Source organism: Homo sapiens, chromosome 11 (assembly GCF_000001405.40).
Source record: "Homo sapiens chromosome 11, GRCh38.p14 Primary Assembly".
NCBI classification, from domain to species: domain Eukaryota; kingdom Metazoa; phylum Chordata; class Mammalia; order Primates; family Hominidae; genus Homo; species Homo sapiens.
Window position 1 is genome coordinate 70,503,893 of NC_000011.10, and position 17,805 is coordinate 70,521,697.

The following is a 17,805-nucleotide window of genomic DNA, read 5'->3' on the forward strand; positions in this document are numbered from 1 at the left end:
GCAGGAGTAACACTTAGTGGTTTTCAAATGTTGCTGTGAAAAGGCCCCGGCCTCACCCCTGCCCATGGAACTGAGCTCCACAGGGGGCCTCTGGCACCTTCATCCCAGCAGCTCCTGAATGGGAGCGCAGCCCAGAGGCAGCTGTCTCTAGGTGGCAGCAGGGAGGGGGAAGCCCCAGAAGGTGAAGTTTACAGCTGCTTCACACGCCACCTTCGAACAAAGAAAAGCACCCTGATCGTAAACAACAGCCAAGACGTCATGCCCCTCACCAGCCACACTGTGCTGTACGCATATCCTCCTGCTATAGATTCTTCAAAAACTAAACATCTGGTATACCCACAAACAGAAAACTTAAAGCCTGTGTGCTGCTTGGTGGATTTTCACAAATCCAACATCCCTGTAAGAGCTGGATAGAAGCAGGTACTGCCTGGCTCACCATACTGTTGACAGGCCCAGTGCCTGGCTCCCCATACTGTTGACAGGCCCAGGATGTGCCAGTTTTGGTCACCTACGAGACGGCTGCAGAGGTCCTCCAGGCAGGGCTGCGAGGAGCCCAGGGAGGACTCAGTGGGGCCAGGGCAGTCCCCGTGCCAGCTGCTCTGCAGTCTCTGCTGTGGGACCGGCTCATTCCCATGTACTCAGACCCACCCGGTTTCAGCAGTGAGTATCCAGTGTCCTGGGTCCACTGGACAGCTGGTCACCCTGCACTGCCCTGAAGATAGAGTCTTGGGAGCAGGACTATCCTAATGGGGCCTTGGGAGAGAGGCCCACCTACAGCGGCAGCGGTCTTTGCAAGGTGACTCCTGGGGGCTGTTCCTTTCACTGAGGTTCTCAGAATGTAATTAGGAAAGCAGATGGATTTAGGAAGTAAAGGAGCCGGATCGAGGAAGACAGCACCGGGAGTTCTCGGAGGGCAGACCTCAGCTTGCAGGACCCTCGCTGCTCTGGTACAGACAGGCAACCGAACACCAGCCACGCGTTATCGGGTTCTCTCCCCTCCCATGAGCACACCCGGGTAGTGGCTGTTGCTCATTCATTCATTCATTCACTCATTCCAGTGTTTCTGTTCCCCGTACCACTAAAAGCCATGAGGCACAGGCAGTTCAGCTGTCTCTGCCTCCATCTGTGGGAAGTTTGCGTCCTCATCAGGGAGTTTTGGCCGACACACAAAGAAGTGAACACATAACTTCAGGTGGCTGAGTACCACCTAAGAAGGCAGAACCAAGTAAAAGGAGACTGAACAGAGGCCTGGACCCACCAGGAAAGAGCAGTGTGGGCGGAGTCATGGAGTGGGAATGGGCAAGGAAGCGGTAGGCAGGGGGGCGCAGAAAAGGCCAAGGCCTGAGAGCAGGGCCTTGGATGCCAGGGTGAAGTTATGGGCCAGGGAGTGCTGAGGCCCGATGCAGAGATGAGGCATCTGACCCGAGCAGCTGTGAGTATGAGGTGCCAAACACACGTGGGGGGGCACCGAGACACTGGGGTCTCAAGCTGAGATGGAGGAGGCAGGCTGCCCAGGCTCAGGAGCCGCGAGGCCAATGTGTGAGGCCTTGGTGAGAAGACCTGGCAGTAGGGAGCCCCCAGCTGCCTGGCCACTAGATCCCCAGGGGTCATCCCTTGCAAGGCTGTGGGGAGCGAGGGGAGGACTCGGCCCCACCTTGAGATGGGCTGGGACCAGCTTTCCTGCTCTGGGCGGGCCCCCAGTGCCGGGCCTTGAGGGGGCTCCAACCAAGAAAGTGCATATTACTGCCTGCTTGCTCCTGCCACCCGCTGTGGGGCATTCTCTGGATCTGATGCTTGGGGAGAGTACGAGACTGGCACGGGGATGGGCTGCCAGTCACTGGAGAAGCCAAGCTCAAGTTGCGGCCTCCTGAGGGCTCGTCGGGCTGATGGGGACTTTAACAGCCTGGCCACTTAGGCAGGGAGGGGCTGGGGATGTGGCCTCTGACTGCAGCCTGCTAACCATCACGGCCTTGGGCTCACTCCCTAGAATCCTCATCCTCCAGAATCTCCCGTGGTTCATTTGTGGTGGCTGGATGCTGTCCTTCTGTGATCTTGGCCAGAGCTGGCCCTTGGCCGCTTTGGGAGAAGCAGTTTGTTCCTGTGCCTTGGAAGGGTCAAGGGGCTGGAGGGCCCTTTTCCTCAGAAGTGTCAGAGACAGACATTACTCTTTTCTGGGCAGGGGAGGCAAAGGACCAAAGAAAGGCCTCTCGGGGAATGAGCCACTCATGGGGGATTCTCAGGAAGCTTGGCTGCGGGGCCAAGGACCTTGGCGGCCCCAGCACCTTCCTTGTCTGTAGCCGACAGCCTGGGTGCACGTTCTGGTGGCACCTCCACACACTCATGCTGCCCCAGCCAGAGCTGCTCCTGCACAGGGCCAGGCTGGCTGCCCAGATTTGATGTCTCATATCTGAGTCTGCAGAAGCTGCTGTTCCCACCCAACTCCTAATCAGGGCTCCCCAGTTCCTGATTCCATCCCCTGTACCCCTCGTAGACCTGCTGCCCTCAGCAGACTGCAGCAAATGGCAGGACCTGCTCAGGAGAGCTCAGAGGAAATGAGGCTCCCATGGGCCCTGGAAACATCACTTGGCCTTCTCTGAAAGCTGATGACAAAGAGGCATACAGGGCTTGCAGGGGTGGAGCTAGGTTTGGAATCAGTTGTTGGGCATCTGATGCCCCTCTGACGTCCAGAATCTGTCTCGCCCAGGTCTTTCGGGGTCATGAGCCACTTCCAAACAAAGTTGCTTTGGACGAGCTTCCCTGCAGTCCCAGCTCCACTTGGAGGGCCCTCCCTCCTGCTTCATGGAGGGATGGTATCCGGTGAGCCCTGGTCCTGGTGGGCCTGCACCCCTCCAGAATCAGCATATTATTGGGTCCGGAGCCTGTGGGGGCCCTGCTGCTTGCTGGGTGCCCGTGGGCAGGACACCTGCCTCTCTAGCGGGGTGTCCTCAGTAAACAGCATGGCTTCCTGCCCTGGCAAGCACTTGGGGGCAGGGAGGTGGTGCCAACAGGGCCTCAAACCATCCACACACATCCTAGGATGTTCCCTTTGGTCCCCATCCAGCGATTACCAAGGGTCAAATCCCACCCACACAGTGCCTCAGTCAGTTTTAACTTAGCTGTCACAATTTAAAGAGTATAAGACCTTTGCATAGAAAGTCTAGAATTTCAGTTTTCATTGAAAAATTAGAACCCTCGCACTTGGGGAGTTGGGCCTCCCACTTGCATGCGGCATCCTCCCCTGCTGTTAGCTGAGGCTGTGACTGCTGCTGTGCCCGCCCGCCCCAGCCTCCTGGGCCCTGACGTCACCTTCTCAGCTTGAGGGGGCATTGGATTTGTGGCTCTTGCCAGCCACCAGTGAAACAGAAAACTGCTATCACTGCCTTTGATGCCATCTGCGTTTAGAATTTTGGGAAGGGACAGATTGAACTCTGCACATTGCTGGTCTCAAAATCAGCCTGGGTGACATTCATGAAACTGATTTCTATTTCCTACGGGAGCCACAGGTGACTGGTGAGCCCTGTATCAATATAAGCTTCCCAGGCCAGTCTCCTGTGTCAGAGCTCAGATCTCAAAACACATTGACCTTCTGCCCAGAATCTTTCCCCTGCAGAGGGAGAGGGATGTCTGTGAGGGGCCTGCAACAGCCTTTCTGAGCATGAGGAGGAGGCAGAATGGGGGAATGTCATGTGGGCGCTGGGGCAGAGGCAGGTGGCCATCCCGTCTGTCACCACTCCGCATTACCCTGAACCCTAGATGCAGGCCCAGTGGACAGACACGGACATGAGGTCTGGAGGGGCCTGTGGGGGACCCCAACTCAAACTTGGGCTTGCAAAAGCCAGGAAAGTGGCCCCGAATCTTGCACTTAATATAGAAACCACATCGTTTCCATCAATGAAGAGCCAGTTCCAGCACCAAGCATGTGGTCCCAGTGACGCGCGTTTGTAATTAGACCCTAAATACCATCAAGACACTAAAAATGCCGACTTCCCCAAAGCAGCTGGGGCTGGGAGGAACCCGCAAGAGCGGGGCTTGTGATTTTTTGGAGTGTTTAGAGGCTCTGCAAATGAACTCAGACCGGTAGTAACTCCTGCAACGCACATTTGCTTTGCACCCCTCCAGGGTATGGTTTAGATTCTGCCGAGAGGGCACAGGCCGTGACAGTGTGCCACAGGAACCTCTATCATACAGGCCCAGGACAGGAAGACCCCTTGGTGAGAACCTGGCCGCACTGACAGCCTGTGCCCGGCTCTGACCTCAGGCAATGAGAGCCTGCCTACTGGGAACGCCACAGGGCACCAGGGCTCATGGGGGTGGATGGTGCCCACGTGCTGCTGGGCACACACCTGCCCTGTCCCCCTCAGCTGAGCACAGAGAACCCATCCCAACCTTCCGCCCACACTGACCTTTCCCGACAGAATGCTCAGCACCCCTCCCCACATCCCATCCCTCCAGCTTCCCCTAAGGCCACCATCAGGGCTAAGTCCTGGGGCGGGGCAGAGTCTGCCCCCTGCCCTACTTTGCCTACTGGTGCATCATCTCTGTGTCCCCAGACACTTGTTCTGGACTGAACTGTGTCCTGCCCAAATTTATATGCTGGAGTCCTAATCCCTAGTATCTCAAAATATGACCTTACTTTGCAGATACAGTCAAGTTAAAAAGGGGCCATTAGGGTGAGCCTAACCCAGGTGACTAGTGTTCTTATGAAAAGGGGAAATTTGGGCCAGGTGTGGCAGCTCACACTTGTAATCCCAGCACTCCGGGAGGTTGAGGTGGGTGGGTTGCTCAAGCACAAGTTTCAGACCAGCCTGGGCAACATAGTGAGACCCCATTTCTACAAAAAATACAAGTTAGCCAGGTGTACTGGTGTGTGCCTGTGGTCCCAGCTACTTGGGAGGCTGAGGCAGGAGGATCACCTGAGCTCTGGAGGTCGAGACTGCAATGAGCCATGATTGTGCTACTGCACTCCAGTCTGGGCAACAGAGTGAGACCCTGTCTCAAAAGAAAGAGAGTCGGGGGAGTCTGGATATAGAGATATGCACACAGGGAGAAGGCGCCATGAAGGGTGAGATCAGGGTGATGCTTTGAGATGCTAAAGGTTGCCAGGAAACCGTCAGCTCCTATGGGAGAGGCCTGGAAGATTTTCCCTCACAGCCTTAGAGGGAACCCATGCTACTGCCACCTTGATCTCAAACTTCTTGTCTCCAGAGCTGTGGGACAGTCCCTGTCTGGTTGAAGCTGCCCACCTGCAGTGCTTGGTCACCAGGCCTGTGCCTTGCCCGGCCTTCTTGGTTACCACCCTGAGGACTGTTCTATTGCAGCCCTCAGCCACAGTGCATCTCTGTCTGCTGCCCACTGAGGCTCACCTGCCCCTGCAGCACCAGCTGTTGCCCATGCAGTGGCACAGGTCTCCAGCGCTGCCCAATGTGAGCAGACACTGATTGGGCCACAGTCTTGGCTCTTGGTCCCACGACCTCCCCCAGGGGCCCAGTGTGGGGACACTGGCTATTGGTCTCAGAGCAAAAATGGCCTCAAGTCCCATTTATCCCATTGAGGGGGGGCTCCCAGCATGGAGCTCTGCACTCTTCCTTGCAGGAGCTCAGAGCACGGCCAGCTGGCATGTAGCTCTGAGTCTTCAGCATTGGTGTAGCCTTCGGGTCAGCTTTCCTCAGCTCCCCTGCCCCCTCACCCTGTCTTTCAGCTCTGACTCAGCCCACCCTGCTGGCCACGACTTGAAGCTGGGGACTTGCAGTGGCTGCATGTCTATGTCCCCCCAGTCTATGTGTTGAAACCCTCACCGCCAGTGTGATGGGGTTGGGAGGCGGGGACTCTGGGAAGTGATTACATCATGAGGCGGAGCCTTCGTGAATGGGATTAGTGCCCTTATAAAAGGGACCCTGGAGCAACCCTTTGCCCTTTCTGTCCTGTGAAGAGAAGATGGCTTTCTGCAAACCAGTTTGCCGGCCAGTGCCATGATCTTGGACTTCTGGTCTCCCGAGCTGGGAGAAATAAGTGCTGTTTAAGCCACCTGATCTGTGTATTCTGTCGCGGCAGCCCAAACGGACTAAGAACTCAAGTGACAAACCATAGCTGTGCTTACTTACCCAGGAGCCTGGCCACAGCTGTTTCCGTCTCCCATCCCCTGCAATTACATATATTGTACCAGGCTTGAGATGGGGAGGGAGGAGGTGTCTTGGCCAGCAGGTGACCCAGGAGTGACTGGTCTTAAAGGGAAGCTGGGAGGCAGGGACTGGAGGAGCAGACCCTGGGGCCGCAGTTCACCCAGACCTGCAGAGATGGCAGAGGCAGCTCTGGCATGCAAAGGCCACAGCCCCCAGATGCTGCTGCTGTTAGCAAACCTGGGGCCAAGGTTGGTGGCTGGGGCATCTTAAAGGTCCTGGGGGAAGGGGTGTTGTGAGTGGGAACTCAGAGGCACTGTCATTGGAAAATGACTGCCGCAGCCCTGGGAGGGAGTGGGCAGTGCAGGCTGGAGGCCACAGCCCTCCCGCGCTCATGCTTGTAGCAGAGCTTTTGCCCTTCCCCACCCCACAGAGGTCCTATTGAAACTGTCCCCTTTAGCAGGGCTAACTGGGGCATGTAATGTGGGTCCCTGAGAAGAGATTGTCTTTCCTGCCTCTGCCAGCGCCACCACCCCCAAGTTTCTGCCACTGGACCCAGCTGTCTGTGAGGCCTCTGGATACAGATCCTGTCCCTCCTTTCCCTGCTCCTCCTCTGTCCAGGAGCTGGGGGAACCTGTCTGCAGGAAGAGGGTGTCCTCCAGGATGGGCCCATGTCACTGTCTTCTACCTTTAGAGGAAGTGTCTCTGCCTTGTGCGAGTCATAGCACAGTGAGTCCTAGGGGTTCCTGGAGTCCTCCCTAGGCTGGGCACACAAAGGGTGGAGCCCATGCTCCCAGCTGCCTTCCCCTTTCCTGGTGAAGAGGAAGTGTGACTCCATTTTCCGGACAGAAGCTGCGCAGCCACATGAAGTGGCAGCACCTACTCCTTGCTGCCTCAGAGCCAGCCCCAACCAAAGAGGCTGCGCCAACCTCCCGTCGACCATGCTGGTCTTAAGTTCTCATCCTATTCTGCAAAATAAACAAGCTTTGGATGAAGTCCTTCCCCAAAAGTAAGAAACATACCAAGGACAAAGCTGTGCGTCGTGTGGCTTTGGGTTTTTGTGCACCTGCTCCCCGTGTGAAGGTGAGCACTTTGACAACAAGGCTCAAGGATGCCAACGGAGTGTGCCCCAGCGCCCATCAACACTTCTATGGGAAGAGTGGGGCAAAGGCACATGGCTGGCAACTCAACTCAACGTGAAATTAATTGACAAGACCAGCACGCAACAAGGCAGGACTGGATACTTCAGTTACATTTCCCTACCCAGTTCAGCAGGGACAGAGGAAAAAAAGCTTTAGGATCTTTAGAATTTCCCAGCCTTTAAACAAACCTAAAATCAGTTTAACCTGCAATGAGACTTTGGAACCAGCTACAGTCCTTAAAACAGATGCCAGAAATTGCTCATGTGGTGACAGAAACTGCAGAATAGGTGAAATGCTTGCTGTTTCCTCATATGCTCAGGTTGGCATCTTGAGCTTCCATGGGGTTTCGGTGCCCCTCAAAAAACCTGGACCTGCAATTCTGGAATGCTGCCACCAGGGGAAGGTATGGCTTGATCACTTGCCAGATTTATAGAAGGCTCAGGTAAGTACTGCAGCTCCTGGGGATAACTGCCTTGGAGTAGAGAGAAACTGTTGAGAAATCATGGATCCAGATAACTCCAAAAAAAGAGTAATGTGCCTGTCCATGCATCACCCTTACATACAGACATGGAGACATTTACAGAGTGAGTGAATCACAGCCACATCCAGGTAGATGGCAAGAACCCAAGCCTATCATCAGCCACAGTCCAGGGAATTTCTGTGAAGAATGGGCATACCTGCCTTCCTTTGTAAATAATTCTCTTCTTCCACTTAAATCGTTATTTAAAATATCAAAAGTTGTACATACACATACACAGAGTTTACAGAAACAAAGAGTTCCACAAGGATTGTCATGATGAAACCCCACCAACCCAGCCTTACTTCTCACTCTGAGCCTTCAGCTATTTAATTTTATATCTATCACTCAATCTCTGAACACCTATTTTTGCTACTTGATATTTACATTTTCGATATTATCCGCTGACACACTGTGATGGAAAAGGATGACTTGGCTCAGAGTTTGTGAAATGTGGCACTATGGTGATTTTGGACCAATTAATTCTTTGTTGTGGGTGTGCACTGTAGGATGTTTAGCAGTGTCCCTGAATTCTACCTGCCAGCTGCCAGCAATAATCTCCACCCCCAAGCGTGAAAATCAAGAATGTTTCCAGATACTGCCAAATGTCCTATGGAAGGTCAAGACACCATCAGTTGAGAACCACTAATTTGGCTCTTTTTAAAAAATCCTCCCTCCCCACTGTTTTCCCAGTACCACCATCCTCTAGATGTATTGATATCAAAATTTTAACTAGATCACCATTCAGGATTTACATCATGACTATGTAAAATCTATTCATAGCTTAAACTCTATAGTATACTATGGTTACTTCATCTTTTCCTGTACATTTTGTTCTCCCTAGAGCAAAATAATTTTGTTTGTTGGTCGGTTTTTCTATGTACTTAACAGTAATTCAAATCCAAATGCTTCCCTAATTATGTAAATCTCTTTTCAGAGTCTTCAAATACATTATCCATTTTAAGTTTGTCTTCCTGAAGAAATATTTCCTGAAGACTTTTGATCTGCACTGAACAACCAGGATTAAGTGTTTTCTAGCAGCTGTCCCCATTACTCTAATCCTCAGGATTCCTTTGACTGATTCTTTCCTGTGTTGGATCTCCTGAATCCCTGTATTTGTTTATTTGGTTCAAAAACCTCATTTTTTGTAAAGGACATCCTCCAGTATCTTCTCCCCAAATAGAGTTAGGACATAATTTTTTTGAGACATTGACTATTTGAAAATGGCTTTATCTGTACACTTAATTGGTAGTTTGGCTGGGTATAAAATTTGAGGTTGGGGAATAAGGTAAAGTAAATTCCTAAGACTAACTAACTCTTCTGCAGGTAATAGCTATAAAATCTAGACAGAGTACAATCCCCACCCCCAAACCAACAAATAAATTCTCTGAAGGTTCTGAAGAGTGAACAAAGACAGGCAGATTTTAGATGAGAGTTGAAAATTAGAAGCTTTGTGCAATGGATGCATTATGGTATGAGTCACCTGCAGTTTTTTGTTTTTTTTTTTTAAATCCAGATCCTGCACAAACCTGCAGTTCTGATAGAAATCAGAGGATACAGCCCACAGTGGCCATAGCAGCCAAAGTGAGGGGAGAACTCCAGAAAAGAGAGAGCCAGAGAAGGGTAGTTTCATATTCTGTGTGTAAACTTCTCATAGGTCTTTGGTTGATGTCTGAGCTGAGCTGTGTGTGTAAGGAAGACTCAAATAGGCTTGCTATGATAAGGCTGAAATTTGAGCTGCTGCCACTGCAGGGCAGACAAAGGTTGCAATTTGAGTTTAACCAAACTCATTATCAGCTAAAACAAAAACATTAACACCCATCAAAGGAATGTAATATAATCCAGAGTTGCCAAAGCATAACATTCACGAAATTTGGGATACAACTCAAACTTATTTAGCAAACCCAGAGATGACCCAGATGTTGGAATTATCAGAGAAGGACTTTAAAAAACAGCTACTGTAACAATACCCAACTAGGTAAAGGAAAATAGGCTTATAATGAATAAAAGACAGGAAATCCCAAGGAAATTTTAAAAAGAATTATATGGAATTGTTAGAAATGCATCAGCTGGGCTTAACATCAGCATGGATATGACAGAGCTAATTATTAGTGAATTTGAAGACATGCCAAGAGAACATATCCAATCCAAAGAAGAGAGAAAAAAAGATTTTAAAAAGTAGAACAGAGAGTATTAAGGATCAAAAGGTCTAACATAACGTGAACGAGAGTCTCAGAAGGGGGGAAAATTAGAGTCAAAGAAGACAGAGAAAATGAGTCATAAAAAATACTTGAAAAAATGGTACCCAAGGAATTCCCCAATTAGGTGAAGGACATAAATTTATAGATTCAAGAAGCCTGTGAATCCCCAAAAAGATAAGTATTTAAAAAATTATATAGGGACATTATAGTCAATTCTGCTCAAAGCCAAAGACAAGGTGAGAATCTTAAAGCAGCCAGAGAAATTATTTACATTATTCACACTCTAAATAAAAATGACTGAATGATTGCAGACTTTGCATCAGAAACCATGGAGAAGAACCTCTTGTAGAAGACGGCGGAACAACATCTTTAACAGGTGAAAGTAAAAAAAACACAACTAGAATTCCATTTCTGGTGAAAATTCTTTAAAGAATACAGGCAAAATAAAGACCTTTATAAAAAAATGAAAACCAGGTTATTTGTTGCCAGAAAGCCTGCACTAAAGAACGTTCTTCAAGCTGAAGTGAAGCGGGACTGGATCTATGGATGGCACAAAGGGTGCCACAAATGGTGAACACCTGGATACAAAATAAAAGATGATTCTCCCTCTTAATTTTAAAAGCAGATATCACTGTTTTAGGCAAAAATAATACTGATTTTGGGGTTTACAAGTGTGTAGATGTAACACACATGACAATTATAGAATAAAGTGAGGCAGGAGTGAAGAAGATGCATCTATATGGTTGCTGGGTTTTTATATTTTACATGGAGTGTACAATTTGAACTCTAAGTAGACTATGGAAAGCTAAGAATGTATACTGTAATCCTTGATCCACTGCTAAAAGAATGTGAAGAGCTACAGTGTAACGCCAATGGAAAAATTAAAATAAGGTTCTAAGAATAGTTAAATAATCTAAAATAAGGCAGAAAAAGGGAAAAATAAAAACTGAGGAGATAAACAGAAGACAAACTTGTAAACCTAGATGGAACCACATGAACAATTCTATTAAATGTTAAATAGAATAAAACTCCAACTAAACATCAGGCCTTATAAAATGGTTTAAAAAGAAGACCTAATTATGCTGTCCGTACACTTTCAATACAAAGACACTGAGAGGCTGAGAGTTAATAAATGAGAAAAGACAGTTCCTGGGCAGAATGGCTGTTAATATCAGACAAAATAAATTTTTGACACAGGGTCTTGCTCTGTCGCCCAGGCTGGAGTGCAGTGGTGTGATCGTGACTCACTGCAGCTTTGACTTCCCAGGCTCAGGTGATTCTCCCACCTCAGCCTCCCAAGTAGCTGAGACCACAGATGCATGTCACTATGCCTAATGATTTTGTATTCTGTGTAGAAATGTGGTTTCACCATGTTGCCCAGGCTGGTCTTGAACTCCTGGGTTCAAGTGATCTGCCCACCTTGGCCTCCCAAAGTGCTGGGACTACAGGCATGAACCACTGCGCCTGGCCATTCAATGACTTTTTAAATATTTCTTTTATTTTCTCTTTGAGGTATCCTTATTTTATACACAGTAGACCGTCTGGACTGACCTTCTAATTTTATTATCTTCTTCGAAGGCCATATCTTTTTCTTTTCTGAGAAATTCTTTTCAAGTTTATCTTTCAATCTATCTTTCAAATTTTTAATGCCAGCCCGGAGCGGTGGCTCATGTCTATAATCCCAGCACTCTGGGAAGCTGGGGTGGGACGATTGCTTGAAGCCAGGAGTTTGAGACCTGCTGGGCAGCATAGTGAGACCTCGTTCCTTGAAAAAAAAAAAAAAAAAAAAAAACATTTAAAAGTTAGCCAAGTATGGCAGCACGTGGCTGTGGTTCCAGCTATTCAGGAGGCTGAGGTGGGAGGATCCCTTGAGGCTGAGGCTGCAGCAAGTCCTGATCACACCACTGCACTCCAGCCTGGGCAACAGAGCGAGACCTGTCTCAAAAAAATTTTTTTTATACCTGCTATATAATATTTTTAATTTTCAGGAACTCTTATTTTGTTCTCTGATCATTTCAGAAAGAACATTTTACTTTTTTTTTCTTTGATCTCACTGAGCATATTAATAATACATTTCTTAATCTTACTCTTCCTGCATACTGGTTTCTTCAGTTGTTTTCAGTGTGTTTGTTTTGGGCCGTATTTCATATTAGTTCATCAAATGTCTGATGTTCCTTGGAAGGCAGCTCATATTTCAGAGTAGCTCCTAAAAGACTAAGTTCGATCACAGCCAATTATTTTGTGAATACTGACAAATGGATCCTAAAGTTTATATGGAAAGCTAAGAGGCCCAAAATAGCCAACACAATATCGAAGGAGGACAAAGTCACAGGGCTGACACTCCCCAACTTCAAGAGTTACTATACAGCTACAGTAATCAAGGCAGCGGGGTACTGGTGAAAGAACAGACAAATAGACCAATGATCAGAATAGAAAGCCCAGAAATAGACCCACACAAATAGAGTCAACTGATCTTTGACAAAGGAGCAAAGGCAGTTCCATGGAGAAAGGACAGTCTTTTCAACAAGCCATGCTGGACATCCACATGCAAAAATGAATGTAGAGACAGACCTGAAATCTTTCACAAAAATTAACCCCCAGTGGATCACGGACTTAAATGTAAAAAGCAAAACTATGACACTTCTAGAAGATAAGAGAAGATCTAGATGACCTTGAGTTTGGTGATGATTTCTTAGATACAACACCAAAAGCATAATCTATAAAAGTCAAAATTGATGTTGGACTTCCTTAAATTAACTCTGCAAAATGCACTCTGAAGAGAATAAAAAGATAAACCACAGACTGGGGGAAAATCTTTGCAAAACAAACACTTATCAGATAAAGGACTGGTATTTGAAATACAAAAAGAAAGAACTCTTACATCTCAACAGTAAGAAAACAACTGAATATAAAAATGGGGCTGGGCATGGTGGCTCATGCTTGTAATCCCAGCACTTTGGGGGGCCGAGTCGGGTGGATCACCTGAGTGAGGTCAGGAGTTCAAGACCAGCCTGGCCAACATGGTGAAACCCCGTCTCTTATAAAAGTACAAAAATCAGCCGGGCATGGTGGCACACATCTGTAATCCCAGCTACTTGGGAGGCTGAGGCAGGAGAATCGCTTGAACCTGGGAGGTGGAGGTTGCTGTGAGTCCAGATGGTGCCACTGCACTCCAGCCTGGGCAACAGAGTGAAAAAAAGGGCAAAATATCTGAATAGACAACTCACCAAAGAAGATACACAGATGGCAAATAAATGCTCCACATCATGTGGAATTAGCAAATCAAGCCAACAGTGAGACACCACTACACACCTATGGAATGGCCAGAATCTCAAACACCGACAACAGCAAATGCCGGCGAGGATGTGCAGCAACCGGAATGCTTATCGTTGCTGGTGGGAACCCAAAATAACACAGGCACTTTGGAAGACAGTTTGGCAGTTTCTTACAAAACAACACACTTTTACCCTATGATCCAGCAATTGTGCTCCTTTGTATTTACCCAAATGAGTTGAGAACAGGTTCATACAAAAACCTGTATGCCGAGGTTTAGAGCAGCTTTATTAATAATTGCCAAACTTGGAAGCAACCCAGATGTCTTTTGAGAGGTGAGTGGACAAACACACTGGTCCATCTAGAAAACGGAATATTAGTTAGCACTAAAAAGAAATGAGCTACCAAGCCATGGGAAGGCCTGCAGGAAGCTTACAAGCATGTTGCTAAGTGAAAGAAGCCAATCTGAAAAGGCTGCACACTGTATGATTCCAACTACATGACATTCTAGAAAAGGCAAACTATGGAGAAGGTAAAAAGATCAGTGGTTGCCAAGGGCTCAGGGGGAGGGAAGGAAGGTGGAACAGAAGCACAGAGAATTTTTGAGGCAGTGAGGCTGTTCTGTTTGATACTATAATGGTAGGTACAGGATATTATACATTTGGCAAAACCCACAGAATGTACACCAAGAGTGAACCCTCATGTAGACTACGGGCTTTAGTTAATAATGGTGTATCAATATTGGCTTCTCAACTGTGTGGGACATTTGCTACAATTGACAAGCCAATTGAAAAATAGGGAAAACAGGGAGAGATATAAGGGGGTATGTGGCAAGTCGGTACTTTTCACTCATTTTTCCCCATAAACTCCTCAAAATATAAAGTCTACTAATTAAAAAGAGGCTCATTTCTACAAGTTTTTATTATGGAAGAAGCCCAATGTTACATGACAGTAGAGAGATGAGTACCCTGAGCCAGTGCTGTCCCTTTAGCCAGCGTCAGCCACTGCTGGCTCCGAGAGCACCCACCCAGCCCCTGGGGCGATCATATCCCTCTGCGTTCCCTGGAAATGGCTCAGCATGCTTTCTATGAAAAGACAGAGACTCTTATTAAGAAGAAACACAACTGAAGTGGGAGGATTGCTCGAGCCTGGGAGATTAGCTGCAGTTAGCTGGGATCACACCACTGTACTCCAGCCTGAGCAACAGAGAACCTGTCTCAAACAAAACAAAAACCAAAAACCACAATGCCATTCTCATGCCTAAAAAGCGACTGCATTCCTGGTATCATGAGGCACCGCGTCATGGCTCAGGCTCCCTGAGTGTACAGCTGGTTTACTTGACTCATGAGCAAGATGCACACGTCACATCTGGCTGGCACGTCTCTGAAGCCTTTTTACATCTCTAGGCTTTCCCCATTCCTCTTTTATCCCTTTGCAGTTCATTTGCTGAAGAAACCGAGTCAATTGCATCCTGCGGCATTGCTTCTATTAGTGGTGGTCAGAGGCGGGATTGCATCCAGGAGCCCTTTGCAGGCGGTGCCGGGCATACCCACGCCAGGAGCCCCGGCACAGCTGCTTGGGTCTTTCTGCGACGAGACAGCACCGGTGGGTCAAGCACCCTCAGCCTGTCCCACTCCCCGTCAGCTTGCCACTTAGTGTTTTTAGCAGCCACTGGTAAATGCCATGCCCAGATCCTTCACCTCCTGGGAGCTGCAGAACGCTGATGTTCAACTTCTGTTGCTCCTTCTCCACTTACTAGTTGGAATAATTTTTATTTTAACTTCTTGAGACAGGGTCTTGCTCTGTCACCCAGGCTGGAGTGCAGCGGCATGATCTTAGCTCACTGCAGCCTTGACCTCCTGGGCTCAAGCGATCCTCCCACCTCAGCCTCTTGAGCAGCTGAAACCACAGGTGTGTGCCACCACACTGGGCTAATTTTTGTATTTTTTTGTAGAGATGGGGTCTTCCTGTGTTGGCCAGGCTGGTCTTGAACTCCTGGGCTCAAGTGATACACCTGGGCCTCCCAAAGTGCTAGGATCATAGGCATGAGCACTGCACCCAGCCACACTAATTTTTAAGAAGAAACTTTCCCTTTTCAACACTTGGATGACTCTGAGGCACAGTGTATGTGAGAAGGCCCAGATACGGGCCGGATACTCGCCTTTCATCAGTTTTCATGTGAATGAGTCACTTCTTTCAAGTGACCAGTTCTTTAAAAAGTGTCATTATGGGCGGGGCATGGTGGCTCACGCCTGTAATCCCAGCACTTTGGGAAGCAGGTGGACCATCTGAGGTCAGGAGTTCGAGACCAGCCTGACCAACATGGAGAAACCCTATCTCTACTAAAAATATAAAATTAGCTCGACGTGGTAGTGCATGCCTGTAAACCCAGCTACTCGGGAGGCTGAGGCAGGAGAATCGCTTGAACCCAGGAGGCGGAGGTTGCCATAAGCCGAGATCGCACCATTGCACTCCAGCCTGGGCAACAAGAGTGAAACTCCGTCTCAAAAAAAAACAAAAAGTGCCATTATGAACTCAAGAATGTTTATAAGAACATAGCTGATAAAAGTTTGAATCCACTACAATTACTATTGTTTTTATTTTATTTTATTGAAACGGGGTCTTATTCTGTTACCTGGGCTGGAGTGCAGTGGCATGATCTCAGCTCACTGCAGCCTTGATCTCCTGGGCTCGAGTGATTCTCTCATCTCGGCCTCCCAAGTAGCTGGGACCCAGGACCACAGGCATGCACCACCATGCCTAATTTTTTTTTTTTTTTTTTTTTTTTTAAAGGCAAGGTCTCACCATGTTGCCCAGGCTGGTCTCAAACTCCTGGGCTCAAGCAATCTGCCTGCCTCAGCCTCCCAAAGTGTTGGGATGACAGGCGTAAGCCACCACGCCTGGTCTAGTCTTTGTTTTTAAACAAATCTTTTATTTTAGAATAGTTTTAGATTTACAAAAAACATTGTGAACTCAGTATCTGGAGTTCCCATACACTCCACACTGTTTCCCCTATTATTAGCATCTCACACTGGTATGGGACATTTGTCACAATTAATAAACCAGTATTGATATATTTCATTAACTAAAGCCCACATTTTATTCGGATTTCTCTAATTTTTACCTGACGTCCCTTGTCTGTCCCAGGATCTGTCCAGAGCACCACATTACGTTTAGTTGCTGCTCTAGGCTCTGCCTGCTGGGATGGTTTCTTAGACTTTGTTTTGTTGACCTTGACAGTTTTGGCTGCTGGTCAGGTCTTTTGTTCTACCCCTGAATTAAGATTTTTTTTCCTCATTATTAGACTGAGGTATATATGGGTGTTCAGGAGGTAAAGAGCCATTCCTGTCACATAGTATCGAGGGCACACACTGTCACCAAGACTTTTCGCTGTTGGTGCTGGCCCTGCTCGCCTGGCCAAGGGAGGGCTCACTGGGCTCCCCCGCTGTGAAGTTACTCTCCTTTCCCTACTTTCCACACAGTGCTCTCGAAAGCAAGTCACTGCATACTGCCCACACCTAAGGGGTGGGGAGTTACACACCACCTCCTTGAGGACAGAGTATCTTTGCACATGTTAGGGAAGATTTGTCTATTCCTCCCTTTATCTTTCAGTTGTTTATTTATCAGTGTGGACCCATGAATACTCATGTTGTACTTTGAATGATAACCAAATGTGACTTTATTTTCTAGCTCAAATTGTCCCGGCCGTGGTCTTTGGGAGCTCCTTGGCCTCTGGGAGCTCCCTGGGATTTGCTCCAGCCTTTTGTTTTTTGACCACTTCCTTCCTTTCCGGTTCTACAGGATGCTCTAGGCTGCTACCTTTTGCCGTGCTTTCGAATCCTCCACTGTGCTGTATGAGCAGCCCTTCCTCACACTGGCTCCTGAGCCCATCACATGTGACTTTGTGTCTTCAATACCTTCCTTGCTTTTGGATGTGACAAAATATTCTACCCTCTTCATGATTATACTGATAGCTTCAACAGAAATTTAGGATGATGCTGTTTTTACTTATTTTCTTTTATATTGGTGTCTCTTTCTCTTTGCTGAAAATCTAGGTTCCTAATGACTGCCATTAAGGTCATGATCTATTTGCTCTATCATTTATTAATCATCTATCCATCTATCATTACTTTCAGACTAACACCACCAATGTCATTACTCATAACAGGATTACCGAAAAGAGGTTATGATTTCTTTCCAGTTTGCAATGACATGCAAATTGCCACTTGACATAATTTGTTAATGCCATTAATTTAATTAGCAGTTATGTTCATTTCTATTATTTTGTTTTGGATTTTGAGATTTTTGAAATTTTGACTGTTTTACAATTACGTGAAATATTTACTCAATTCCAAAATTGAACCTGCTACTCTCTCTCTTCTACTTCCTCTTCTTGTATTCTCCCCCTTGAGGCAATGCTAAATTAAAACAAGTTATTTTGGTGGATTATCCTTCCATTAAAAAGGAGAAATGAGCAGATACCTGTGTGTTTCTGTATGTGTATGTGTGTGTGCACGTGAGCATGTGTGTGGGTGAGTGTGAGCATGTGTGTGGGT

The 17,805-nt window shown here is 47.7% G+C and overlaps 1 protein-coding gene across 32 annotated transcripts in view, besides 2 other annotated features; it reads right to left on the reverse strand.

Annotated features, from left to right (window-relative positions):
• SHANK2 (SH3 and multiple ankyrin repeat domains 2) overlaps positions 1–17,805 on the reverse strand; it is a 785,381-nt gene that overhangs the window by 36,039 nt on the left and 731,537 nt on the right. The gene's annotated exons all lie outside the window — the stretch shown is intronic.
• Positions 1,610–2,109: an enhancer, noted in NCBI's record as "H3K4me1 hESC enhancer chr11:70351607-70352106 (GRCh37/hg19 assembly coordinates)". NCBI's record gives its function as "activates a minimal SCP1, AML or CMV promoter by ChIP-STARR-seq in primed H9 embryonic stem cells {active_cell/tissue: H9 hESC(primed)}" and the evidence as "EXISTENCE:reporter gene assay evidence [ECO:0000049][PMID:30033119]".
• Positions 14,328–14,829: an enhancer, noted in NCBI's record as "H3K4me1 hESC enhancer chr11:70364325-70364826 (GRCh37/hg19 assembly coordinates)". NCBI's record gives its function as "activates a minimal SCP1, AML or CMV promoter by ChIP-STARR-seq in primed H9 embryonic stem cells {active_cell/tissue: H9 hESC(primed)}" and the evidence as "EXISTENCE:reporter gene assay evidence [ECO:0000049][PMID:30033119]".